Below are 23,513 nucleotides of genomic sequence, written 5' to 3'. Positions count from 1 at the left end.
TTTTATTGTCTTTATTCCTAAGAGGCAAGTCTCAATTATCTAGGTTCTAGGAAGGGAGGGAATATACCACTATGGACCCCTTCTCCCAGGTCTTTCCTTCCTGTCATAGCAGTATCACTCAAGACCATGGTGTTCTGTAGATGGGGAGCCTGTGTCCTCACATATCCCACACTGCTACAGAAATACTCCCTGTTGACACATTAGAGGCAGATGTTCAGAAAGGAAGTTCAGTGTCTGGTTTCATTGGAACTCATTCTCTCCTTTCTTTTCATTTAATGAATAAGATAAAATACAGCCTTTTGCTATAATATAAAATAATGGTGATGGCTCATATTTTCCACATTATTGCATATTGAATTGTTCTTAACTTGGGGAAGAGAGCAGCGTATTGAATTTAACCAGGCAGAGAAAAGGGCAACTGAAATGGTTTATTCCTTCCCTCCCCGTTCTGGAACAGCCTCATGTCTTACCCAGGAACCCTAACCAGACCTAGTCAGCCCCTCATTCAAGTCTCCAACTAGGGGGAAGGCAGGACAGGCCTCTCCAGTGTCATCTTTGTTTCCTTGAAAGGGAGAAACAGAAATCAGTCCATCCAAAGGACCTCTGAGGAGCCACTTTCCATACCCCCTCCTCTACCTGGGCCCCCTAGCAGGTCACTGCTCTAAAGAGTGCCATCCCTGTGGGCCACGTGGCCACAGCAACTTAAACCACAGATGTGGTTGTGGAAAGTGACCAGTTAATGAACTTCAAAGTCTTTTTGGCCAGGCAAGGTGGCTCATGTCTATAGTCCCAGCACTTTGGGAGGCTGAGGTGGGCAGATCGTTTGAGTCAAGGAATTCGAGAGCAGCCTGGGCAACATAGCGAAACTCCATCTCTGCAAAAAATACAAAAATTAGCTGGGTGTGGTGGTGTGTGCCAATAGTCCCAGCTGCTTGAGAGGCTGAGGCAGGAGCATCCTTTGAGCCTGGGAGGCAGAGGCTGCAGTGAGCTGAGATGTGCCACTGCACTCCAACCTGGGCAACAGAGTGAAACCCTGTTTCGAAAGAAAAAGAAAGGTCTTTATCTTCAACATCCACTTCCCCAGACATCTACTTCCCGAGACATTGAGAAATATTTAAATAAGATGGGAAAGCCAGCTAGGACTAAAACAACTATTGATCTTTCTCTCACTCTAATTGTGCAGGTTTTTAAGATGCAGGCCATAGAAAACACATCACATATGATTACTAAAGAAACTGGTGCCTGGTAATATTTGCTGTGTGTACATTGGAAAGCTATTTATTTATTTTAAATACTCAAAGAATGTCAAGCTGAGGCAGGGCAAAAGGAGACCCAGTGCTGATCTGTCATTCCCCCTGGAGACCTCACCCTCCATCTAGCCAAGTGGCCCGCTGGAGTCCTGGGGAACTGCCCACAGGGAAGGAGAGTCAGCAATTTCTTCTAAAAGAAGCCTCCCTATATTGCAACAACAAAATACTTTCAAGATGGGGTCAGAGACCCCCAGACAAGCATCTAGGTCACTCCATTGCACCTTAAATAGGAAGCCTGCTTATTTTAACCGCATTTTTCTTTGCATCTCTTCATTCAACATGAGAACAAACATTCAACAGAGACTGGAAGGAAACTGAGTAAAATATTAAGTGGTAATATATGTTGTTGGTAGGTAATTGATAAGCATAGTTTCTTCTTGGTATACCTAATATTTTCTAATTTTCTTCAGTGAGTAAGGTTTTTATTGCCATACTCCTTTTTTGAGTCTATAGGCGTTAAAAAGAACCTCTGTGCTAAACAATGAGGTTATAAAAGCTAACATTGCTGTCCTGTCCTTAAGAGCTCAGATTAAGTAGACGAAACAGTCTCAAGACATATAACGCCAGCCCAGCATGCTCACTGCTGCGACAGGGGGGCGTACAAAGTGCTGGGGTATCCAAAGGAAGGGATTCACTGACGTTATTCCCAAATCTCCGGTTCTTTGGGAAATCTTGCACTCAGTTACTTTATATACAGGTCTCTTTCCAGCCTCTTTCAACTTAAGAGCCATTGATCCAAGTTTACAACATTTTCTGCAAACCCTGCAGGGGAATAAATTCATGGAGCCTGTTCTGCTGGTGGTGGTGAGAAAGAAAGAGTACAGGTTCTGTGGTCTGAATGTTTGTGTACCCATGCAAATTCATACATTGGAATCATAGCCCCCAAGGTAATGGTGTGAGGAGATGGGGCCGTTGGGAAGTGATTAGGTCTTGAGGGCTGAACTCTCATGTTGGGATTAATGCCCTAAAAGATGCCCCAGAGAGCTAGCTGGTCCCTTCCACCGTGAGGACACAGCAGGAAGGCACTGCTTCTGAGCCAGAAAGCAGGCCTCGCGAGACACCAAATCTGCCGGCGCCTTGACTTCCCAGCCTCCATAACAGTGAGAAATAAATTTCTGTTGTTTATAAGCTACCCAGGTTTTGATATGTTGTTATAGCAGCCCGAATAAACCAAGACAGTGGGCTTTGGGGCCAGACAGAACTGGCTTGAATCCCCCTTCTGTCACTACTAGTTCTGTGGCCTTAGGTAAGACACTTTGATTCTTCAAGCATTCAATAAGAATAAGACTTTCTTATGAGATTTTGAGATAATGTACTTACAAAGTAAGTACAGAAAAAGTGGCAAATAGCAGATATTGTTGCCACTTTAATAACTGTTGTTATCTTAAGGCATAATCCCTTCTTTTAGTGAGCTTTCCATCTAGTTGAGGAGGGAAGATTCATGCAATTAAAAACAGAATTTCCAAGACAACCTAAAGACCAAATGAGAGATCTGGGTAGCAAAGGCTGTGGGATTCAGAGAAGCCCCGGGGGTTCTCAGCCCTGAAGTCAGCACAGCTATTCCTCCCCTGTGCAAGCTGGGTTCTCACTGAGTAACCCCAACTTGCCAGCTTGCCCATGGGTTCTGGCTCTGTGAGTTTATTACTTGAAAATGCCTGGCACCTAGCGCTGGCCTGCTTCCTTGTGGATGTGGAATACAGGTCTGCATGCTGAATCTTTGTGACGCACACAGTGACAGGCTCTTTCCCTTGGTGACAGTGCTCCCTCCAGGGACCATCTTGGGTCTGGGGAGTGACAGCCGTATTATGAGCAGCCTTCTAGAAAACAAATATGGATTCTTAATTCTAAAGCCAATTCCAAATGCGTTCTAGCAGGGCACACAGAAATGAAGCCTGCTTCACAGAATTAACAGCGCTCACTCCCATCTGATGGCAGGAGACAGAGACACAGGCTAGCCTAATGAGAACTGATCGGGATATTCTGTCTGGCGATAATAGCAAATGTAAAACAGTGAAACCTCAGACTCCCCTTCTGGTTGCTGTCGATTTGTGTAATAAGCCGGCACACACAGGCACACACATGCGTATCTGTAAAATTAAATTCTCCAGAGAATCTGACCAAGGCAGTGCCCACTGTCTTGTTTTTAATAATAATATTTTCCATTTAATCTTTCTTAGAATTTGTGGAGGCTTTGTCCATTCCAAACTCAAAGGAAAAAAATTAGCATTTAGATAGGATTGCGCCAGCATTAAAATCAATTGAAATGGAAACAGAGATCATGGGAAGGTTGAGACGCCTGGAGGTTTTTCCATAGGATGATTCTGATATGATGTTCAGGGTGCCCAAAGCATACCTCTCCCCATGTCTCATCATCACTATGCACTCGGCCTTGTCCCCAGGTGCCTCTTTCTCACACATATTCCTCCCCAAGTCTCCTGAGAATCACATTTGTGATAGCAGAGCCCCTTCCAAGCTCTAGCTCCTCTTTCTCCAGGAATAATCATTGCAAAGGAGACACAAGGCATAGGGTCCTTGCTGCCCAGGGTGTAGAGACATGAAATGCGCCTTGTTTGCCCCATAGACTTAAAATACTCTCTCTAGGTTCTTCTTCCTGCCCCTGCCCCCACAGCCATACACCACTTTTCTCAATCGCACACCCTCAACCTTCCTTACGCTCAAATTCCAGACAATTCCTGCAGCCTCAGAAATGCACTGGAGGCCTATACTGACTGGGCAAGGACTTCAAGGAAGTCACCTAGAGGCCACTTCTAGCAGTGTCCCCTACACACTACATGGGTTCTGTAGGCAGGGTCCTAACAGGGAAGCACAACCCTTGTCTGTGATTCTTGTGTGAACAACACCAGCCCACATCCTAATTGACCTCAATGATTCCTGTCTGCCATCCATTTGGATATAGTTTCAGGATCTGTCCACAGCATTCAGAAGCCTCCATAATCTGGTGTATCACTGACTCTATCTGCCAGTGGTAAATTCTTGAAACAGAGACTGACAGCTGCTTTTACTGAGCTGCCTCCAGAGCCATTGTTGCTCTCAGATCTCCTGATAAACCAGACTCATGTTCTTTCTCATTTTGCCTTTTACTGCTGCACTCCTGGAACCACCAGACCACAGGAGTGAGGCTCATTTAGTGCTAATGTCTTGCGTGTGGTTGGTATTTTCCTGTCTTGCAAACTCATTTATCTGAGTCCCTGATCCAAACCCTATGCATTCCTGGCAGTTGCTCCTCAGCATTCCTTCCTTAATGTGAGCCCCGCTGTACTCCTCTGTGCTTCTGTGTTCATCCCCGCTTCCACACCTCTCCCTACCTCTCCTATTCCCATTCCAGCTTCTGAGTCCCTGTCCCTGGCTCAGTCCTTTGCATCCCTCCAGCTGGAAGTGTAACTTTTGTTACTTTTCTCATACAGGAAGATGATTTGAATGGGATCCACATTGTGGCCTTTGCAGAGAAGAGTGATCCAGGTAGGAAACCTTCAACCTGCTCTTTTACAGCTCTAGCAAGAACTGATTTCTCACCTTTGCCAGCCCTCACCTTTCTCTTCTCTCACATCCCATCCACAATGCAACTGCAAGATATTGGGCACCCCCTGGTGGTCGCCCATTAAGTATGAGTTCGTTTTCAATTGTGCACACGGCTAAGAGAAGAAAAGGTGTGAACAAATCAGAATGTTATAGACTACCAGGTTCCTACAGCGCTGCACAGCAATGGACCAACACACTGAGTCAGTGGGATTTGCAGCAGAGAAAGAGTTTAATAATCGCAAGGCTGCCAAATGGGTAAGAGGAGGGATTCTCAGGCCACAAATCCAATTCTTCAAGGGGTTCTGGGCAAGGGTTTTTAAGAGGATCATGGAAGGTGAGGGCCTGGAAAATTGGGGTCATTGATTGATCTGGGTAAGGGGATGAAATCGTGAGGATGTGGAAACTGCATTCTTCCATAAGTCAGCTCCTTGCTCAGCCTTTTAGACCAGCTGATGTCAGTAGTTTTATTGGTATGCAGAACCTAAAAGAGAAACTCAAATGGAAATCTTATTGTATTAGTCCATTCTCACATTGCTATGAAGAAATACCAGAGACAGGGTAATTTATAAAGAAAAGAGCTTCTATTGGCTCAAAGTTCTTCAGGTTGTACAGGAAACAGGGCAGTATCTGCTTCTGGGGAGGCTTCAGGGAGCTTTTACTCATGGCAGAAGGCAAAGCGGGAGCAGACATCTCACATGGCAGGAGCAGGACCAAGGTGGTGGGGAGGTGCCACACACTTTTATATAACCAGATCTTGTGAGAACTCATACCAAGTGGGGAATGGTGTTAAATCATAAGAAACCACCCCCACGATCCAATCATCTCCCACCAGGCCCCACCTCCAGCATTGGGGATTACATTTCAACAGGAGATTTGGGTAGGGGACACAGATCCAAACCATATCACTTTTAATCTCACCATGTCTTAAATTTTGTCTATAGAACAGAGAAGGGACAACAAGTCTTGTGACAAGGGCTACATTATCCTGGGGTAGTACACAGTGAAGAGAAGTGGGCCAGAGGGCAAGCCAGCTTCACGATTGCTGCCGATGGTGTGGGAAGCCTAGCGGGATTTTATTTTTTTCTCCAGTTGATTTTATAAAGTGTTTTTGGAGATGCTTTCAAGAACCTCAAACATTCTGCTTTGCTGCCCAAACATAGAAAGGTACACTGGGCACTGGGGGAGATATTAAAACATACCAGCTTTACAGGGTGTGTGTGTGCTTGTGTGTGTGTGCACGTGTGAACTTCTGTTCACATTAAAAGTTTATTTACCTATTTTGCCATCTAGCCTATATCAACCACAATTCTACCTGAAAATAGGATAAATGTATACTTTAATCCATAAAATATTGTCTGTGCTTAGGAAATGAAGTAGGAAACATTCCCCTAAATAATGAGACCTGGGGAAAATGAGCAGCTTATTTTGAAAGTGCAAGATGACCCTGTAAATGGATGGGTAACTTTGTTTTTGGAACTTGGACAACTTTTCTCTGGTTTCACTCTTTTCAACACCAGTGGAGAGTGAAGTGCAGGAAAATTGATTTTGCAGGTAGCAATTCCCTATGGCAGTGCTCTGTGAGACAGAGAGTCCCCAAGAGAAAGTGGAAGCACAGATTCTGAAGTGCATTTTGGAAACCCTGGGACAACCCAGAATGTAACCAGAGAAGTCAAGGGAATGTAGACTTTCATGGTATTTGCTGGGGACCTCAGTCTCTTGTATACTCATAGGGAGAGATCTAGAGATGGTTCCACTAGACAGATCAGGAAACAGCGGTTTGGAGAAGTTAAACAAACTGCCCAAGAGAACACAGTTAGTGGCAGATCATGAAGGGTGAACAGATCGCCTTTTTCATCAATATATAGCTGATTCTTGCACAATGTCTTGACTCGTGGTAGGCGCCCAATAAATATTTGTCTGGCAGATGATTAGAGAGTTAGATGACCAACCAAGACAGAGCCCCAAAATCTTCACTGGCAGACCAGCTTTTCCTTCCCTTTTTTGGCAATACACTAATAGCCTCCATAGTTTCTTACAGAGTGAAACCCACATTTTTTATCATATAATTTATAAAATCAAGATATAATCCATATACCATAATAGTAACCCTTTTAAAGTGAAGATTCCAGTGGTTTTTAGGACATTCACAAAGTTGTGCAAACATAATCAGTATCTAATTCTAGAACATTTTGATAAATAGCCATTAGCAGTCACTCCCATTTCTCTCTCACCCACCTCTGCAAGCAGGAATTACCTACTATCTCTAAAATTTGCCTATTCTGGACATTTCATATAAATGGAATCATTTAATATGTAGCCTTTTGTGTGTGGCATCTTTCACTTAGCATGATGTTTTCAAGGTGTCCCAATGACATTGCACATATCATTCCTTTTAAGGGCCGAATAATATTCCATTGTATCAAAACCAAATTTATGTTCTGAATTATCTGAGCACTCTCTTGTCTTTTTCACTTTTCAACATGATCTAGCCCTTGTCTCCACCTCTCAAGAAAAAGCTAGTGTGGTTTCAGTGGGTTTTCCACAGGTTCCGGCCACCACTCTTCCCTGGAGGAGCAAATAGCAAAGGAAGCCAATTGCCTAAGGTTTACAAGCTATAATCAAACAGAATCGGATCCCTGGTGTTATGTGAACAGAGATGCAGTTGCCATAGGCAGCAGCCTGCTGGCCAGACTCCAGAGGGCTCCTTCCCCACCTCACCTGCCACCTTCCAGGATTGTGGGGAAGCCTGTCTGGCTCTTTGGAACAATAGAACAAAGAGGCCTCCCTGAAGTTGTAAGAACCTGTTTGACCGAGATTGCTGCTGTAATGAATCAAGCTCCAGAAACTACTTCCACCTCCTCCCTGCACAAATATCCCTGGGCCTGAAGCTGTGCCTTTCCCCAAAAGAGCCCAAGCTGGGGCTTGTACTGGGAAGCTGTAAGCATGCACTGAGGTGAGGGCAGGGGGATAGGGAGGAGCTCTAGAAGCATCTTCTGTGAGCAAGGGCCTTGCCACTCAGGGTTGGGAAAGGGAAAGACTTGTCTGTGAAAGTCCCTGACTCTGAATTTGTGGTTAATCAGTGATTTACCTGCAGAGCACTGATGTGTAACCTGGGGCAATGGGCCTGACTGCAGGACTAGGAATGTCATTCCTGCAAAACAGTCCCTCTGCATTCCTTTGCTCTTGCTAACAAGTTAGACATGGCCTTTCACCCCAACCAAACACCTAACCCCACCACCCCAAGGAAGAAGATCATACCTCCAGGAAAATAATACAGTTCTTCTTAAAGAACTAACAGTATTGAGGAACTGTGCTAGGAGCTTTATGTAGATGACCTTATTTAGCACCTAAAGCCACTCTGTAATACGTGCATGATGATTATTATTCTAGTGTCAGATGAGGAACGTGAGTTTTAGAGGTTAAATAAGTTGCCCAAATCACTCACTATACCTAAGCCAAGATTCAAATTCAAGCAGGCTATCTTGACCTCTAAATACATCATGACTATGAGGAAGATGATGATGATTGTCACTTACTGTGTACTTATATGTACACAAGAACCCCATGAGGAAGGCATTATTTTTATTACAACTGAGGAAGCTGAGGCTGAGAGAGCTTACCTCACTGGGAAGCATGAAGTTGGAATGACGCTGAGGATGTCTGGCTTCCCAGCCCACACCCTTAACCACAAGGCCCTGCCATAGAGTTATATGAAGTCGTCAGGTTAGCAACTCTGAGTGGCATATACGTCTGTAGCAGGGCCTTATGCTAAGTGATCATTCGATCCTCCTTCCTGCCTCTCTATTGCCCTTCACCATCTCCTCCACCTCCAACATTTGAAAGACAAGAAAGCGGAGACCCAGGGCAATGCAGTGGCATGTTCGGGATCACAGGGTTATAGGAATAGTGGGAAATCGAGCTTAGATTTCCCAAGGGCCCCTCCTGTGCACAGTCCACCCTATCACACCAACTCCAAACAATGCCCCAGCCAGTGCAGGCTCTGAGCATGTGCAGTGCTGCCGCATGTACTGGGGAAGGGGACACGAGCAGGCAGAGCAGGCGGAGGTGAGAAGAGCACAAAACCACCTGGAAGCTTGAGAGCCTAGTTAGGGAAGAAAAGTCAGGCTTCCTCCCACTGTCTGTCCAGGTTTGGGATCTAAGATTACACAGCAGCAACAACCACATGTCCCAGTGATCCAGCTGCCCCAACCACTTTCTTCCCCCAGCAGTTCTGACATGATCCTCATGGCCAAGAGCTTGAGTTCACCCAGGGTAGGAAGCTGAGGGAAGGCAGCAACCCTGTACTCCCACCTCCACCTGCCAGGAGGCAGAGTCTGCTCTCCTGGCCCTCGAGCCTAATCGCCAGATCTCTCCTGCTGTACTCATCCCATGCCCTTAGGCAGGCCTGGCTGGGAAGGACATTTCCTAGCCCTGTGCTCTTGCCCATTGCCTGGTGGTGCTGCCAGTCTTCCTCCAGCTCCTGCGCTCAAAGTGCCCGCCAGAGCCGCTCGTCTGACAGGTTTGAAAATGAATGACTGTCTTCCTCACCACCCCTAGATGTGTCTGTGTCAGGCTGACATCTTCTTTATAACATGTGATGAAAGGTTTGCAAAGCAGCGTTTCTACATGAGTGCATGCTAGATGGATATCCTCAAAGGGCACTGGGAATATTAGCGCTAACAAGCTGGAAATGCAAGGAAAGGCTGCTGTCTGCACACGTGGAACAGAATTAGTGACAGGCCCTGGAAGGAACGTCTCCAAGCTCTGTTCCATCCAAGCTTCCACTGCTTCAGGTTCTTGTAAAAATCTTTTTGAGACCAATTGTCTCAAGTAGGACCACTAACTGCCTCCTTGAGCTTTTGATTTTAAGTTTGGTTTACCAAATTTAACATTTGGTTCTTTCTTTCTTTCTTTTTTTTTTTTTTTGAGGCAGTCTCCCTCTATTGCTCAGGCTGGAGTGCAGTGGCACCATCTCTGCTCACTGCAACCTCCACCTCCCGGGTTCAAGCGATTCTCCTGCCTCAGCCTCCCGAGTAGCTGGGATTAGAGGCATGGGCCACCACACCTGGCTAAGTTTTGTATTTTCAATAGCCTCCCAAAGTGCTGGGATTATGGGTGTGAGCCACTGTGCCTGGCCTGGTTCTTACTATGTGTTGAATGTTATTCCAAGCACTTAACAAGTATCAACATATTTAACCTTTGCAACAACCCGACGTGTTAGGTGCTGTTTTTATCATCTTCCCCGGTGTACAGATGATAAAGTACAGGGACGAAGAAGTTAAATAATGTCCCCAGCTCACATGGCTAATCAGTGATAGAACTGGGATTCAAACCCAGCAGTCCAGCCCCGAGTCTGGGCTCTGTAACCATCAGCTTAAGCTTCTCTTCATCACAACACCATATCATTTGACTTTTTCACCAATTCTGGGATCTTAGCGCCAGGAGAAGACAGGCAGAGAAAGAGGGTGTGGTAAGGAGTGGTAGCGTATTCACATGTCTCAAGTGCCGTCTCATAGCTGTGGGGCCCAGACAATGTCCCCTGTCCTACGCGGATGTCTGACTCTCACGGGTGACTTCTTGGCAATTCCATCTTGTGAGAGGAGAGCTCCCAGCCTTGTCTGTCCCTCTGAGGTTTCCCAAAGGATCCAGTTCAGATGCTGGGCTGCTTTTTGAGAATTCCATATTTACTGAGTGAGCTCTGGTCTAGAGACCAACAAGGTCTTTCTGAGAGAGGACCTGTCCTATTCACCCTTGTGTCTCAGCCTCAGGCTCTGGGCTTAAGATGTTGTGGGAACTCAAATTATACCTGCCTGCTGAAAACAAACAAACAAACAAACAAAACCCTTACGCCTGTAATCCCAGCACTTTGGGATTACAGGCGGGTGAATCACAAGGTCAGGAGTTCGAGACCAGTCTGGCCAACATAGTGAAACCCCGTCTCTACTAAAAATACAAAAATTAGCTGGGCATGGTAGCATGCACCTGTAGTCCCAGCTACTCAGGAGGCTGATGCAGGAGAATCACTTGAACCCGGGAGGCAGAGGTTGCAGTGAGCCGAGACCACACCATTGCACTCCAGCCTCGGTGACAGAGTGAGACTCCATCTCAAAAACAAAAACAAAGCAAAACAAACAAACAAAAACCCTTCCCATCAACGAAGGATCAAAGTAGTGAAAAAAAAAAAAATCTTAAAATGAGTAAGAGTTTGATGGGGGTGGAGGAGAGAAAGGAAGAAGACAGACAAAGTCTTTATGAGGACCTTCTGCATGTGTCTCCCTACACACTTTGCCCAACCCACATGCTGATAGCATCTCGTTATATCAACATGCCTGAGAAGTCATGTGGCAGCTGTTCTCTCCACTTTCAGAGGAGGAGATGAAAGGGGAGCGGTTAAGCAACCTGTGCAAGGTCTTTAAACTCCAGACCCAGTGCCCTCTTTAGACACAACCTCTAAGCTGTGTGGTTCCAGCCCCGGCCGTTTATCTGTCCACCTGCCACACAAGCAAGGGCAGGACCCCACTTTAAGAGCTTGGCCCTCCCAAGCTCAGGCCTCTCCTCACAGGAGCAGAGACCCTGAGGCCCAGAACTTCCCATGGCATGGAGTCAGGAAGGGTCCCTTTCCGTGCCTTTGTGGAGTGAGCACAGCCAGCTCCCCCAGGAGTGGGGCCATGAGGACAGATAGCAGGGCAGGGCAGGCTGCATGCTGTGGACCTGTTCACTCCTGGACCACTGCTTGGTCTGAGACACATGAGCCTCTGCCGAATGTGGCCTTGGCTCCTGACTTGGCTGTGCCTGGCCTGGGACCGGTCCCCTAGGGCTTGGTGAAGGCTCATTCCCACCAGTCCCTGCCAGGGAAACAGAAGAGGATAATCACCAGTTTCTCCTCCCACAAAGATGTGATTCCCAGAGGCCAGTCGCTTGCCGTGGGAAACCTCCTGGTTCAACGTGCATCCCTTGGCTGTGGGTCATGGTCTCTCAGGACTCCAAGCCTGAGTGGCAGGAGAGGAGTTGCAGTTCTCACAGCTCCAGGTCTCTTTATTTACATCCATCTCTGAGACGCCAGTCCCACTCAGAGCCATCCCTGAGTTAGCCAACCCATCATACTACAGCTGCTGGGAGGCGAGGGCTTGGCAGCGTGGTTTGAAGGAGGGGAAGGGACCCCTCCATGGGAAGGTAGAGGCCAGCCCGCCAGCCCTGGGACTGACCCCATGGACAGTTTCCTCAGTGTCCCAGCCCCTGCTTCCCTGATGTTGAAGCTTTCACACTGGGCTTAAAAATCTCAAGCACTCGAGGAAGGAAGATGGCAGCAACATTGGTAGGAGTGCAGAGACCTCAGAGGGTAGGAGACAGTGGAAGTGGCTCCAGACGTGCAGACTTAAGACCTGAGTTCAACTCCCAGCTCTACCATTTGCTCCCGTGTGATGCTGGGCAAGTCATTTGCTCTCCTTGGGTCTTAATTCCATCCTCTTTAAAATGGAGATGATAAAATCTTCCTAACCTCCATCAAGACTAGTTGTAAAAATCAAATGTAAAAGTACTCAGTACCCAGTAAGTGTTCAATAGACACTCAGAAAATAAAGGTTGGAGCAGCGTGATTATAGACTTTCTGCATATGGAGAACAATGTTCTGTGTCCTGGCTGGGCATGGTGGCTTTCGCCTATAATCCCAGTACTCTGGGAGGCTGAGGTGGGAGGATCGCTTGAGCCCAGGAGTTCAAGATGAGCCTGGACAACACAGAGAGACTTCATCTTTACAAATAGTAATAAAAAAATTAACTGCATGGTGGTGTGTGCCTCTGGTCCCAGCTACTTAGGAGGCTGAAATAGGAGAATCACTTGAGCCTGGGAAGTCAAGACTGCAGTGAGCCGTGATTGCACCACTGCATTTCAGCCTGGGGAACAGAGCAAGACTCCATCTCAAAACAAAACAAAAAAGAACAATGTCCAGTGTCCATAAAGGAAGAAATTGGGGAGTAAACGTCATGTGAAAAAAAGGAGATTTCAATTGGATGCAAGGATAAGATTCTTGGCTGTTAGAATGATCAACTCTGTAGTCAGCCTTTTAGCAAGGTCAAACGGTCTCAGTCCTGGAAATATTCAACAGAGACAAATGTTCTGAGTGAGGGCTATTCATCTACCTGGAGTTTGGAATGTCTGGGTTGCGGGGGTCTCTTCTGATTTTGAGAACTGATGCTTTTCTGATAACTGCAGAGAATAGTCCTCTACTTGCTTTGTCTAGATAACTATTAGCCTACACATCTCTGAATAGTACTTCCCCCTTTTCTCTATACAGTTTTTTGAAGTATAGGCTATATTACTTCTGAAACATACATGACCATAGTCTTGAAAGGGCTCCAAGCCATGTCTACCACTGATAAAGGAAACATTTACTCATTTTAAACTCAGTCATTCATCCATGTAATTTTAACAGTGGACTAGTCCTTGCTTAACATTGAATTACTAAAGTGAAATGCGGCTTCCTACACCTGCCTTCCTGGTCAAAAAGGGAGGATCCACAGAGAACGTTTCTCTTTTCCAGGGGACTTGCCAGTTTTACAAAGAAACAGAGGCTCTCTTTGGAAAAAAATTGAACTTGTAACTTACAATTTTAGCAACTGAATACATGTGAGACCAGGTTAGCTGCCTTAACTCACTTTCACAGATTGACAATCCATTTTAACAGGTCTGCACTCAAGGCTGGTGTCTGAAGAGGGGAGAGCCTTGGAGGCTTTTAAGCCTTTGATCAGGAATATCCACACAAGCTAATGCCTTAAAAGCAAAGGAATTAAACCTTTCCCTGACCCAGTTATCAAGGCACGGTTCTCGTGGTCTCACCAGCTGGCACAGCCATCCCTGAAGCCTTTGGTCACAGAATCGGCAACAGGAGCTGGAAGGAGCTGCCCCACGCTGTACACTTTTGTGATATAGTTTTCTGTCAGCATGTACCACGTGGATCCAAGACTGCCTCTACCCCACTCCCAGTGCCCAGATCACTGAACGTAATACCGATGTGGTAAATGAGCAGAGGAATGGCCAGGCTTAGGGAGTTCCAGCCAGCTTCCTTGCCTTTGAATATAGAATGTCAGGTAATTTAAGTAAAATAATGGCTAAACCTTACTATATGCCAGGCACTGTCCAAGTGCTTCAGAGATACTGATTCATTTAACTCACAACTACCCGACGAAGTAGATGCTATCATTTTCATCATCTCTGTTTTAAAGATGAGGAGAGAAACATTAAATAACTTGCTCTAAGTCACACTCTAAGGGTACATCCACGACCTTGGCCAAGGTCATTTGGCCCCAGAGTCTGTGTGTTTAAGGGCCATTCTGGGCTGACTCCCTGAAGAATGGGCTCTGTTCTGTCATTGAAAGTATTTGGGGTCAGAGACATTGTCCATTACAGAATTCATCACCCTGAACATCAGAAACCTGCCCTTGGATCTAGAGGAAACTTTTTCAGCTTTAATGTCAACCTTATTTATTAATTTATTCTGGGAATGGTTTTTGGGATTTCTTTGCTTCTCCATAGACACAAAGAATATTCTCTTTACAAAAACCTTTTATTTTCTTGAAAATGGGCATTAAGCCACACTTTTGACTTCACTCGTTTACAAAAAAACTACAACCCATTTGATTTTTCTTGCACAGTTCAGTTTTTCTTTTCATCTCTTAACCTGCTCTAGAATGTCAAATAGGAACGTAGTAGGTAAGTTCTTGTATACCACATTCCTTTTGATGAATCTCAATGTTAAGAGAGTTTTTCCCATAAGAAAACAACAGTGCTCCGTTGTGTATTCAGCTTATAGTTCTGGGTCACAGATCCTGTCCCTCCACAACACTTGTGCCTGCCTAGACTCTCCTTTCCTTTATGTGAATCAGTCTCTTGCACCACAAGTTTACTTTCTACTTTCATTTGAGTCTGTGTTTTTGCATTTCATCCTCTCTGTGAATTTCAGTTTTGTCATGTCCCTTTTACATTTGACTCTCTCTCATCTTCCAAAGTACTGGCAGTGTCACCTCATTGATTATCATTTCTTTATTTTCTGCAGCTAAAAACAGTAACTGAAGTTGTTTTGGAGGAATTCCTCCTTGTGGTCTTTGTACTATGATTTCTATCTCTACAGATAACCAAGGTGGCACCATATTTCCCTCTCCTGTGACAGACACATGGCCAAAGGACGACCCATAGTGTCCACACGTCAGTCAGTGATACACTGGAGGGGCAGGACCTTCTCAGTTCCACCTACAGGCAGCAGGAGTAATGCCCCTACCCCACCTCACCCCCAGCCCTGCAATGACAGATAAATGAAGTCTAATGCTTAGGGCCCTGTCAGTCTCCGGTGTTTGTCATAATCTCATTTGCAATATGGTTATGAGCACGGATTAAAAGATCACCGAGGTCCACTCTGTATTTCTGCAAGAAGTGGCCACCGGCCATAAAGACCCCTTCTAGGCCTGACACAGTGACTCACATCTGTAATCCTGCACTTTGGAAAGCTGAGGCAGGATCACTTGAGCCCAGGAGTTCAAAACCAACCTGGGCAACAATGTGAGACCCCTGTCTGCACAAAATAAAACAATAAAATTTAAAAGACTAGCTGGGCATAGTGGCACACACCTGTAGTTTTAGCTACTTGTGAGGCTGACACAGGAGGATCACTGGAGCCTGGGAGGTCGAGGCTGCTGTGAGCTATGATCCCACCACGCACTCCAGCCTGGGCAACAGACAAAAAAAAAAAAAGGAACTATTTCTCCACTAGAGGTCGCTGTGCTTCCCAGGTAATAAGGCCTAAGGGGGCTCAGCCTGAATCTTCAGTGTGAGCTAGCAACAGTGACTACACCAACTCAAAAACTCAAAGTAGAGTTGCTAAGAATAGTATGCGTTTTGCCTGGAATGCATTAGAGATAAAGAAGTGTAGAAAAAAACTTTTACCAAGAGTCCAAAAGAGCCAAACAAAAGCTAGCATTCCTGGAGAGAGGAGAGGTTTGCTAAACAGAGGCCATAGGGAGGAGCTCAAGTTTGCTGAGACTCCAGACAAAAGAAGAAAAACTGTGCAAAGAAAGCACAGTTAATTGAATTCCCAAGTAGCTGGTGAGTTACTTGTATTCAACGTATAAATTTCAAGCCACAAATTCAGCTATGCAAGAAATGTAACTTTATTATTTAGAACTGAACCTAAATTTCAATTTTGAGTGTATACCACTGAGTGGTGGAAGCTGGGGCTGATAATTAAGGTCCTCCACCCCAACCCCACTATCCCAAGGGATCCAGGGTCTCTCTGGTTCCCAGGCATATCTGAGTGGGGTGCACATCTGGTATGGGTCATCGTTACCTGTTCAAGTTCCTCAGAATGACAAGACAACTCCATGGGGCCTTCTGACAGGCTTTTCTGCCCTAGTGCTCCTATACTAGGGGGTTCTCTAAGGGATTCTGGGATCTTTTCATTTGCCTGAGTTTAATTCTGAAACAAATCATGGGTCTTCTATACTCTGGGATTCCCTGAAACAATGGAGATTCTGTACGTGGACACACATGCACACATGGCTTGTGTTTCTGCACATGCACGCGTGCACACACACACGCACACACACATACACACACGCACGCACACACATACACACACGCACGCACACACACACAGGCACAGTTTATTATTCTCAGGGACCTTCCAGAATCTAAACTATTTTTTCTGTTTCTAGCTGGGGGCTGGGGAGTGGTGCTGAGGGTTGAGAGTATGCTATCTCTTACTAAACGTTCTCCTAAAATTTTTGTTTATGGCAAAAATTGTATGCTCCTAGTCCTTCAAGGTTTAGGCTTTTAAAGCTAACAAGTTTGTGTTCTTGAAGCTTATAAAGCTCCTCTCTGCTTTTCTTAGGAATCATCCCACCCCTGGGGCAATGACTGCTGCTGACTGAACAGAGGGAGGGCCCAGTATACAAGGAAATAGGGAGGGAGGGAGGGAGGGAAGCCCCATTTACTATCTCAGAGCTGTGAAACCAACTGTAAATCAGAAGCTCGTTTGGTTTGAAGGTTTTAGCAATTCCTGGTTGTAGAAAACTAAGGGTCCAGGCTTAGACATTCTTGGTCCTTAGAGCAAATGTTATTGGGGACTCTAGGGGACAGCAAAGCATCTGTTTCAAGAGATCGCACAGGATCAGTAAGGACAGGCAGGAATTTCTCTGTTCCGTGACTGACTTTCTGACCCAAGGCTGGGCAGTTTTCACAAATGAAGTTTGGCTTCCAGTGAAAAACCAGCCAGTTCTCTGTGAACTTTTAATCCTTTGTTCAAATTTTTTATTGTTTCCTTTGTATAATCTGCTCTGTGCCTGGAGCTCTCATCTGACTCATTCTATAGAATAATCCTATAATTGAGGGTGAGCACCAAATGTCCTAAGAAGTCCTCGTGGAAAAATCACACTCTGCTCTCCACATTAGAAGCTGTGTATGTGCAGGGGTTACTCAACTCTCTTGAATCCTGTTTCAGATGGCTACGAATTCCTGGAGATCCTGAAACAGGTTGCCCGGGACAATACTGACAACCCCGATCTGAGCATCCTGTGGATCGACCCGGACGACTTTCCTCTGGTGAGTGGCTCCAGCCAGCGCCCCACCCTCAGTTGCTGTCACAACCTCATGATTGCGTTCAGCATCTGAGGAGGTGAAATAGGCAGGGGCACTTGAAGAAACCCAGTGGCGGTCCTCACCCAGTGTGGGAGGTCTTGGCCCTTGGGGCAGTATTGAACTTGGGGCCTGGTGCTGACCCTGAAAGGATTCGGCTTACTCCCTGGAGTCCAGGAGTTGAAAACCCTTGACCCTCGGGGTCCCACCCAAGTGAGCAGGGTAAACTCCTTCGGCAGCAGCTCCAGAGCTGCCCCTCATCACTCCATTCCCAGTCCCCAGAACTACTTTTATTTTCTGGGTGGGGACCATCGTTCTGAGGCCACCTGAATTACTAAGTAATAAAAATCAGAGATGAACATTTTTCAGCGAGTTCAGAACTTTGTGGAGAGAAAGCGAGCGTGCCTGTCATGTTCATCGTGTTCTCCCCAGGACCTAGCATAGTGTCTAGCCTACGATGAATGTGAAAGAAACTTCAAGTCCACACTTTTGCTAGTGTGCATGATCAATGGCCCGAAACTTTTGATTATACTTAGTTTTTAAAAAAGAATAAACAGCATTTGTACACTACATGTATTGAACCCTGGTACTGGTTCTGGTGCTGATAATAAGTACTGGTACTGATAATAAGCATAGCTGATATATTCTACTGTATGCCTGGAACTAGAGTAATACTTTACATGCCTCATCACAGCGAATCCTCTCAACAACCCTGTGAAGTAGGTACTATTATAATCCCTGTCACAAGGTGGAGAGAATGATAGCTGGGGAGGTTAAAGCTAGTGAGTGATAGATGTGATATTCCAATCTAGGTCTACATGATGCTAAAGCCTGGTCTACCGACTGCTTTAGGTAAATGCTTATTGAAGTAATCAGTACAAGTTTAGTTATCATTAGGTTATGAATGATGACTTTATCTTCCAGGAATTATCATTAGTTGCATAGGTCATGACTGATGATACTGTGATTAAATAGAGAAAATTGAGAGGGATCTCAAGGGTCCTGAAAATCAGCCCTATGTAGAGGAGGGGGTGAATCAAAGGCAGAGGCTTCCATGACACTTGAGACCAATGTCATAGCACTGGGTAATTATAACAAAGTCATGGCCATATAAGACTGCATACAGTACAGCTTTGTTGATATAGCTTCTGCCTGGTTGTGTTTCTAGTTTATCTGACTATTTTGTTATACAAGCTTGCAGATGGTTTGCAGTTTTCCTGGCCAGTTTTTTTTTGTTTTTTTTTTTTGAGACAGGGTCTCACTGTGTCACCCAGGCTGGAGTGCAGTGGCATAATCTCAATTTACTGCAGCCTTAAGCTCCCAGGCTCAAGCAATCCTCCTGCCTCAGCCTCCTGAGCAGTTGGGACTATAGAAATGTGCCACCACGCCCAGCTAATTTTTAAAATTTCTTGTAGAGACAAGGTCTTACTATGTTGCTCAGGCTGGTTTCAAACTCCTGGACTCCAGTCCCAAAGTGCTGGGACTACAAGCATGAGCCACCATGCCCAGACTCTCTTCTGGCCAGTTCTATGTGTTTGCCTTGGTTTTTGCAAAGAAGAAATCTTCAGACTATTCTGATTTCCAGATTCCTGAATATCCCTAGTCCCCACTAGGCCATATATTTGCGTGGGAGATTTCCTACCACTGGACATCTCCATTAAAAAAAAAAATCCTGTGGCCCCTTGCTCCTTTATTTTTGCCCCAGTCAGAGATTTGTCCACATGGAGTCCAAGCCTGGTTGAATGAAGAAGCCTTCTTCTTACTTGGCAACTTATGACCCATCATGGCTTTCCCAGCTATCTCATGTAGCACAAGATAAGGTATTTTTAAAACTGGGACATTAAAAAGAGGTGGAGGGAAATGGCTCTATAAACTATAAAACAGCCACAAGTAATTTGGAAAGCAACATTAGACCACCTCTATAATTTTCTCTCTTACAGCTGCAGACACATGTTTCCATAATTTATGCTGTGTCATCTTTTATTTAATGCTTATTTGAAGTGCTTGAAGGCTGGGGCCAAGTCTTCAATTTGCTAAGTGCTCACAGCTGTTTTGAAGACCTTTAACCAATGGTGACCTAGTTACTGTGATGGGACGGCGGGTGGGTCCTTAACAGAGAATGCCCTCTGCCTGCTGTCTAATCTTATTTTTTTGTTGCTGCAGCTCGTTGCCTACTGGGAGAAGACTTTCAAGATTGACCTATTCAGGCCACAGATTGGGGTGGTGAATGTCACAGATGTGAGTATCCCCTGTGAAGGCTTGCTCAGGCACCCTTGGCCTGCCCTGTCTTCTGCTACACAGCTTAGATTGTGAGAGCATCTATAGTAGCCCAGCCTTTTCAGAAGAGGGCAGGGGTCCTGCTCAAGGAAACTTGCCAGTGTGTTCCACGCCTGGTCTCCGAGCCAGTCCCAATCTGTGGTTCCATGGCTCTCTTCCATGGGCACATTTTCTTGCCTATGGGGCCAGCCTTTCCTGAATCACTGATTTGGAACTTTCCCTTCAAGTAAACTCTCCTGTATTTACCCCCAAAGTCAAACAGCAAACAAAAAGGTCTCTTTACAAAAGGGAACCCACACCAGGAGCCATCACTGCACAATGGGTGATGGGGCCGTTGTGGCCTAGAATCCCAGGCAGGCAACTACTCTACAGGCAGGAGACCAGGCCTGCAGAAGGGAAGGAAGAAAATCATATGCGAGTAAGGGGCTTCTCCTCAGAGTTCAGGCATTGTTGAACCGAGGGTGGGACAGGCTAGTGAGGTACACTGGCAGAATGCGAGGAAATCTTAGATCTCAGTCCATACATCTCATACAACTCCACCATCATAAAACTCAAGTGGGGACAGATACAATCAGGCAAACAGTGGACAGAAAGGGATGATCACAGAGGATTATTAGAGCCATACTTAATTAAGATAGAATCTCTTAAGAATGGGGGCCAAGCCAGGCGTGGTGGCTCATGCCTGTAATCCCAGCACTTTGGGAGGCTGAGATGGGTGGATCACCTGAGGTCAGGAGTTCAAGACCAGCTGGCCAACATGGTGAAACCCCATCTCTACTAAAAATACAAAAATTAGCCAGGCATGGTCATGGGTGCCTGTAACACCAGTTACTTGGGAGGCTGAGGCAAGAGAATCGCTTGAACCCAGGAGGCGGAGGTTGCAGTGAGCCAAGACCATGCCATTGCACTCCAGCCTGGGCAACAAGAGCAAAACTCCATCTCAAAAAAAAAATAAAAAAGAATGGGGGCCAGTTAGCAATGTCTTTCTCCCCTGTTGATAGGTGTTCAATCACCTAGGGAACTCTACATTCATTTATTTTGTAAGCTACTTTAAAATTAATAATAATACATTACTTTTAAAACATGCTCAAGTGAAAACATTTTAAAACAGAACAGTAGATTAGAAGGTCAAAGTAAAAAGTATTTCCTACTCCCCTGACCCAACCCCTAGTCTCATTCCTGGAGGGAACCACTGGTGGTTGTTGCATGGGTATATTACCAGAAATGTCATATATATTCCACTGGGCAATGGAATACACATTTCCTTTTATGCAACACAAACAGTATACTACACATACCGTTTTGCCGTTTGGCATTTCCATTTAACAATGTGCACGTTCCTAATAAGTGTAAGAGAGTCGGGGGGCACTCAGCATAGCTATTCAGCACGGCTATCCCTGGTCTGGTTCAGCCCTCATGCATTTACCCACTCATTCATTTTGTCCCTCACTGCAGGCTGACAGTGTCTGGATGGAGATTCCAGATGATGACGATCTTCCAACTGCTGAGGAGCTGGAGGACTGGATTGAGGATGTGCTTTCTGGAAAGATAAACACTGAAGATGATGATGAAGATGATGATGATGATGATAATTCTGATGAAGAGGATAATGATGACAGTGATGACGATGATGATGAATAGCCCAACTCCAAACAATTCTGATGAAAACAAAATCACAGCACCCACTACCATACAGACAGCACAAGGTGGCAGCAAGCAATTCTGCCCCACACCCAGCCAGCTCCTTTCCCTTTTCCATCATCTCTTTTCCCACTCCCTTTGCGTCAGGAGCAGCATCATTCAGCAAATGCCTTTTCAAATGCAGCAATCCCACTTAGCAGGGACAGGAGAAAAATTATTCCCATGTTGACTGTCTTGACTGTCACGGAACAGATCTTGTTCTTTGCTGGACCATCAAGGGTCATGGCAGTGCCTGAACATGGCAGTCTAGGGTGAACAATCCCCTAACACAAGTTTACTTGTCTTTGATTATGACAGTAACAAAATTGACAGCTTTCTAACTCACAGGCATAGAGTGACCTTTTAATCAGAGCCCAGGGAAGACACATGATTAATGATTTAGCTCCCTCCATACCTCGAACATCAGTTGGGATCCCTCCTCCAGCCAAGATGATCCTTCTTAGAGAAGGCTCAGCCTTGGAAGCAAACTTATAAATCATATTCTCATGGCTTTGTTAAACTTATTTCAAGTGATGGTCATTCATATCACTATGAACTTGGATATTCAAGCCTTTGGATGGCTATGGAGAGGGCTTGAAATGTGTACAGGTGTCACCATCATTTCTAGTATATTAGGAAACTGGGATGGGAGGTTGATTTGCTCTCTAAACTTCCCTCTAGTTGGCAAGTCTCACATATTCATCAGCAGGAGTGGAGGGTGGGGGAAAACTAGAAAGATGAAAACTTTTACATTTTTCTGATGGGTTCATGTCTCTGATTGGGTCAGCTGGCTTCCTAGCCTAAGCTGGGATCTGAATACCCCTTCTCTGTAGCTGCTAGTGAGCCTTCCCATTTAGATTAAAGATTGCTTTATCCAGCAGTCAATTAACTCTCCAGTTATCAGTACTCCCACAATTGGCCAGGGCAACAATAATTGGAGTTCATACTGATGCCCTGAGGCACTGAAAAAAAAAAAAATCCCAAAGTGCCTTCTGAGCTGTCTAAAAGTTACATTGTGCTTGGTAGATTTAGTGTTAAGTGTGCAGTATAATTTTCTAATTTATTTTCTCAATCTTTTAGCACATGTGTAAGACACTGTGCAAATTTTTTGAAAATAGAGCAATACTTTTTGTGGAATACTAGCTAACTAATTCTGTCATTAAACTCATATTTTGAAAATATTCAGACAATGTTGAAAATCCTATCTTGATTTTTCTGACTCTGCTCATTCTCATCTGGCTCCAGTCCTACCTCCTTATTTCTTCTCTATTTTCCTTTCTAGCCCCTCTTCCTCTGCCTGCTCTTTGAATGATGGTGTTTCACAGCATCTCAACTCTACATACTCTTCCAAAATGATGTCATCGTGCCCATCAATACTATCCATGTGCTAATTACCTCCAAATATGAGTCTCTAACCTTGACTCCTTGCCTTATTTTTAGACACATTCATTCAACTGCCTCTGGATATCTTGACTTGTTGTTGTACAAGCACTTCAGACTCAACACAACAAAACCTGAACTCATTGCCTTCTCCCCTAAACATCTTCTCCTCTTCATGGAGTCCTAGTTTGGGTGGGTGATAGCACCATTTATCCAATTGTCTAGGTGACCTGAAGGTGCCCCTTCCCCCCTGTGATTTGTGCATCCCTGGATCATGTCACTTATCATTTAAGGTATAACATATATTTGCATGTCTGTCCTTTCACTAAATTGCAGGCTCCTTAGAGGCAAGGAATTTATCTTAGAATCCCTAGCACTTAGCGCTTTGCCCATCACAAAGTAGATACTCATTTATTGAGTTGGTGGATGAATAATTGATTAACTAGAATACCTATAATTCCCCAGCACTATTGGGTAACAGAGCTTACAAGGTGTCTTAGTCTGTTTTTATTGATATAAAGGAATAACTAAGAGTGGGTTATTTATGAAGAAAAAATATTTATTTCGCTCACAATTCTGCTGGCTGCAATACTGGGCATCAGGTGAAAGCCTTGGCTGCTTCCATTCATGGCAGAAGGTAAAGGAAAACCAGTGTGTGCAGAGATCACATGGTGAGAGAGGAAGCATGAGAGAGAGGAGGTGCCA

The 23,513-nt window shown here is 45.2% G+C and overlaps 1 protein-coding gene across 1 annotated transcript in view, besides 1 other annotated feature; it reads left to right on the top strand.

Annotated features, from left to right (window-relative positions):
* Window positions 1-22,609, top strand: part of CASQ2 (calsequestrin 2) — a 68,694-nt gene extending 46,085 nt beyond the window's left edge. The window contains exons 8-11 of the mRNA NM_001232.4: window positions 4,736-4,790; window positions 17,338-17,438; window positions 19,635-19,709; window positions 21,204-22,609. Of these exons, the coding sequence (NP_001223.2) occupies window positions 4,736-4,790; window positions 17,338-17,438; window positions 19,635-19,709; window positions 21,204-21,389 (417 nt within the window). The 3' untranslated portion in view covers window positions 21,390-22,609. The remainder of the gene's footprint in view (window positions 1-4,735; window positions 4,791-17,337; window positions 17,439-19,634; window positions 19,710-21,203) is intronic.
* Window positions 11,104-11,746: an enhancer, noted in NCBI's record as "H3K27ac-H3K4me1 hESC enhancer chr1:116253505-116254147 (GRCh37/hg19 assembly coordinates)". NCBI's record gives its function as "activates a minimal SCP1, AML or CMV promoter by ChIP-STARR-seq in primed H9 embryonic stem cells {active_cell/tissue: H9 hESC(primed)}" and the evidence as "EXISTENCE:reporter gene assay evidence [ECO:0000049][PMID:30033119]".

Source organism: Homo sapiens, chromosome 1 (genome assembly GCF_000001405.40).
Source record: "Homo sapiens chromosome 1, GRCh38.p14 Primary Assembly".
In the NCBI taxonomy this organism is placed as follows: domain Eukaryota; kingdom Metazoa; phylum Chordata; class Mammalia; order Primates; family Hominidae; genus Homo; species Homo sapiens.
Note: the sequence above shows the minus strand (reverse complement) of the source record. Positions and strands in the feature narration are given on the sequence as shown.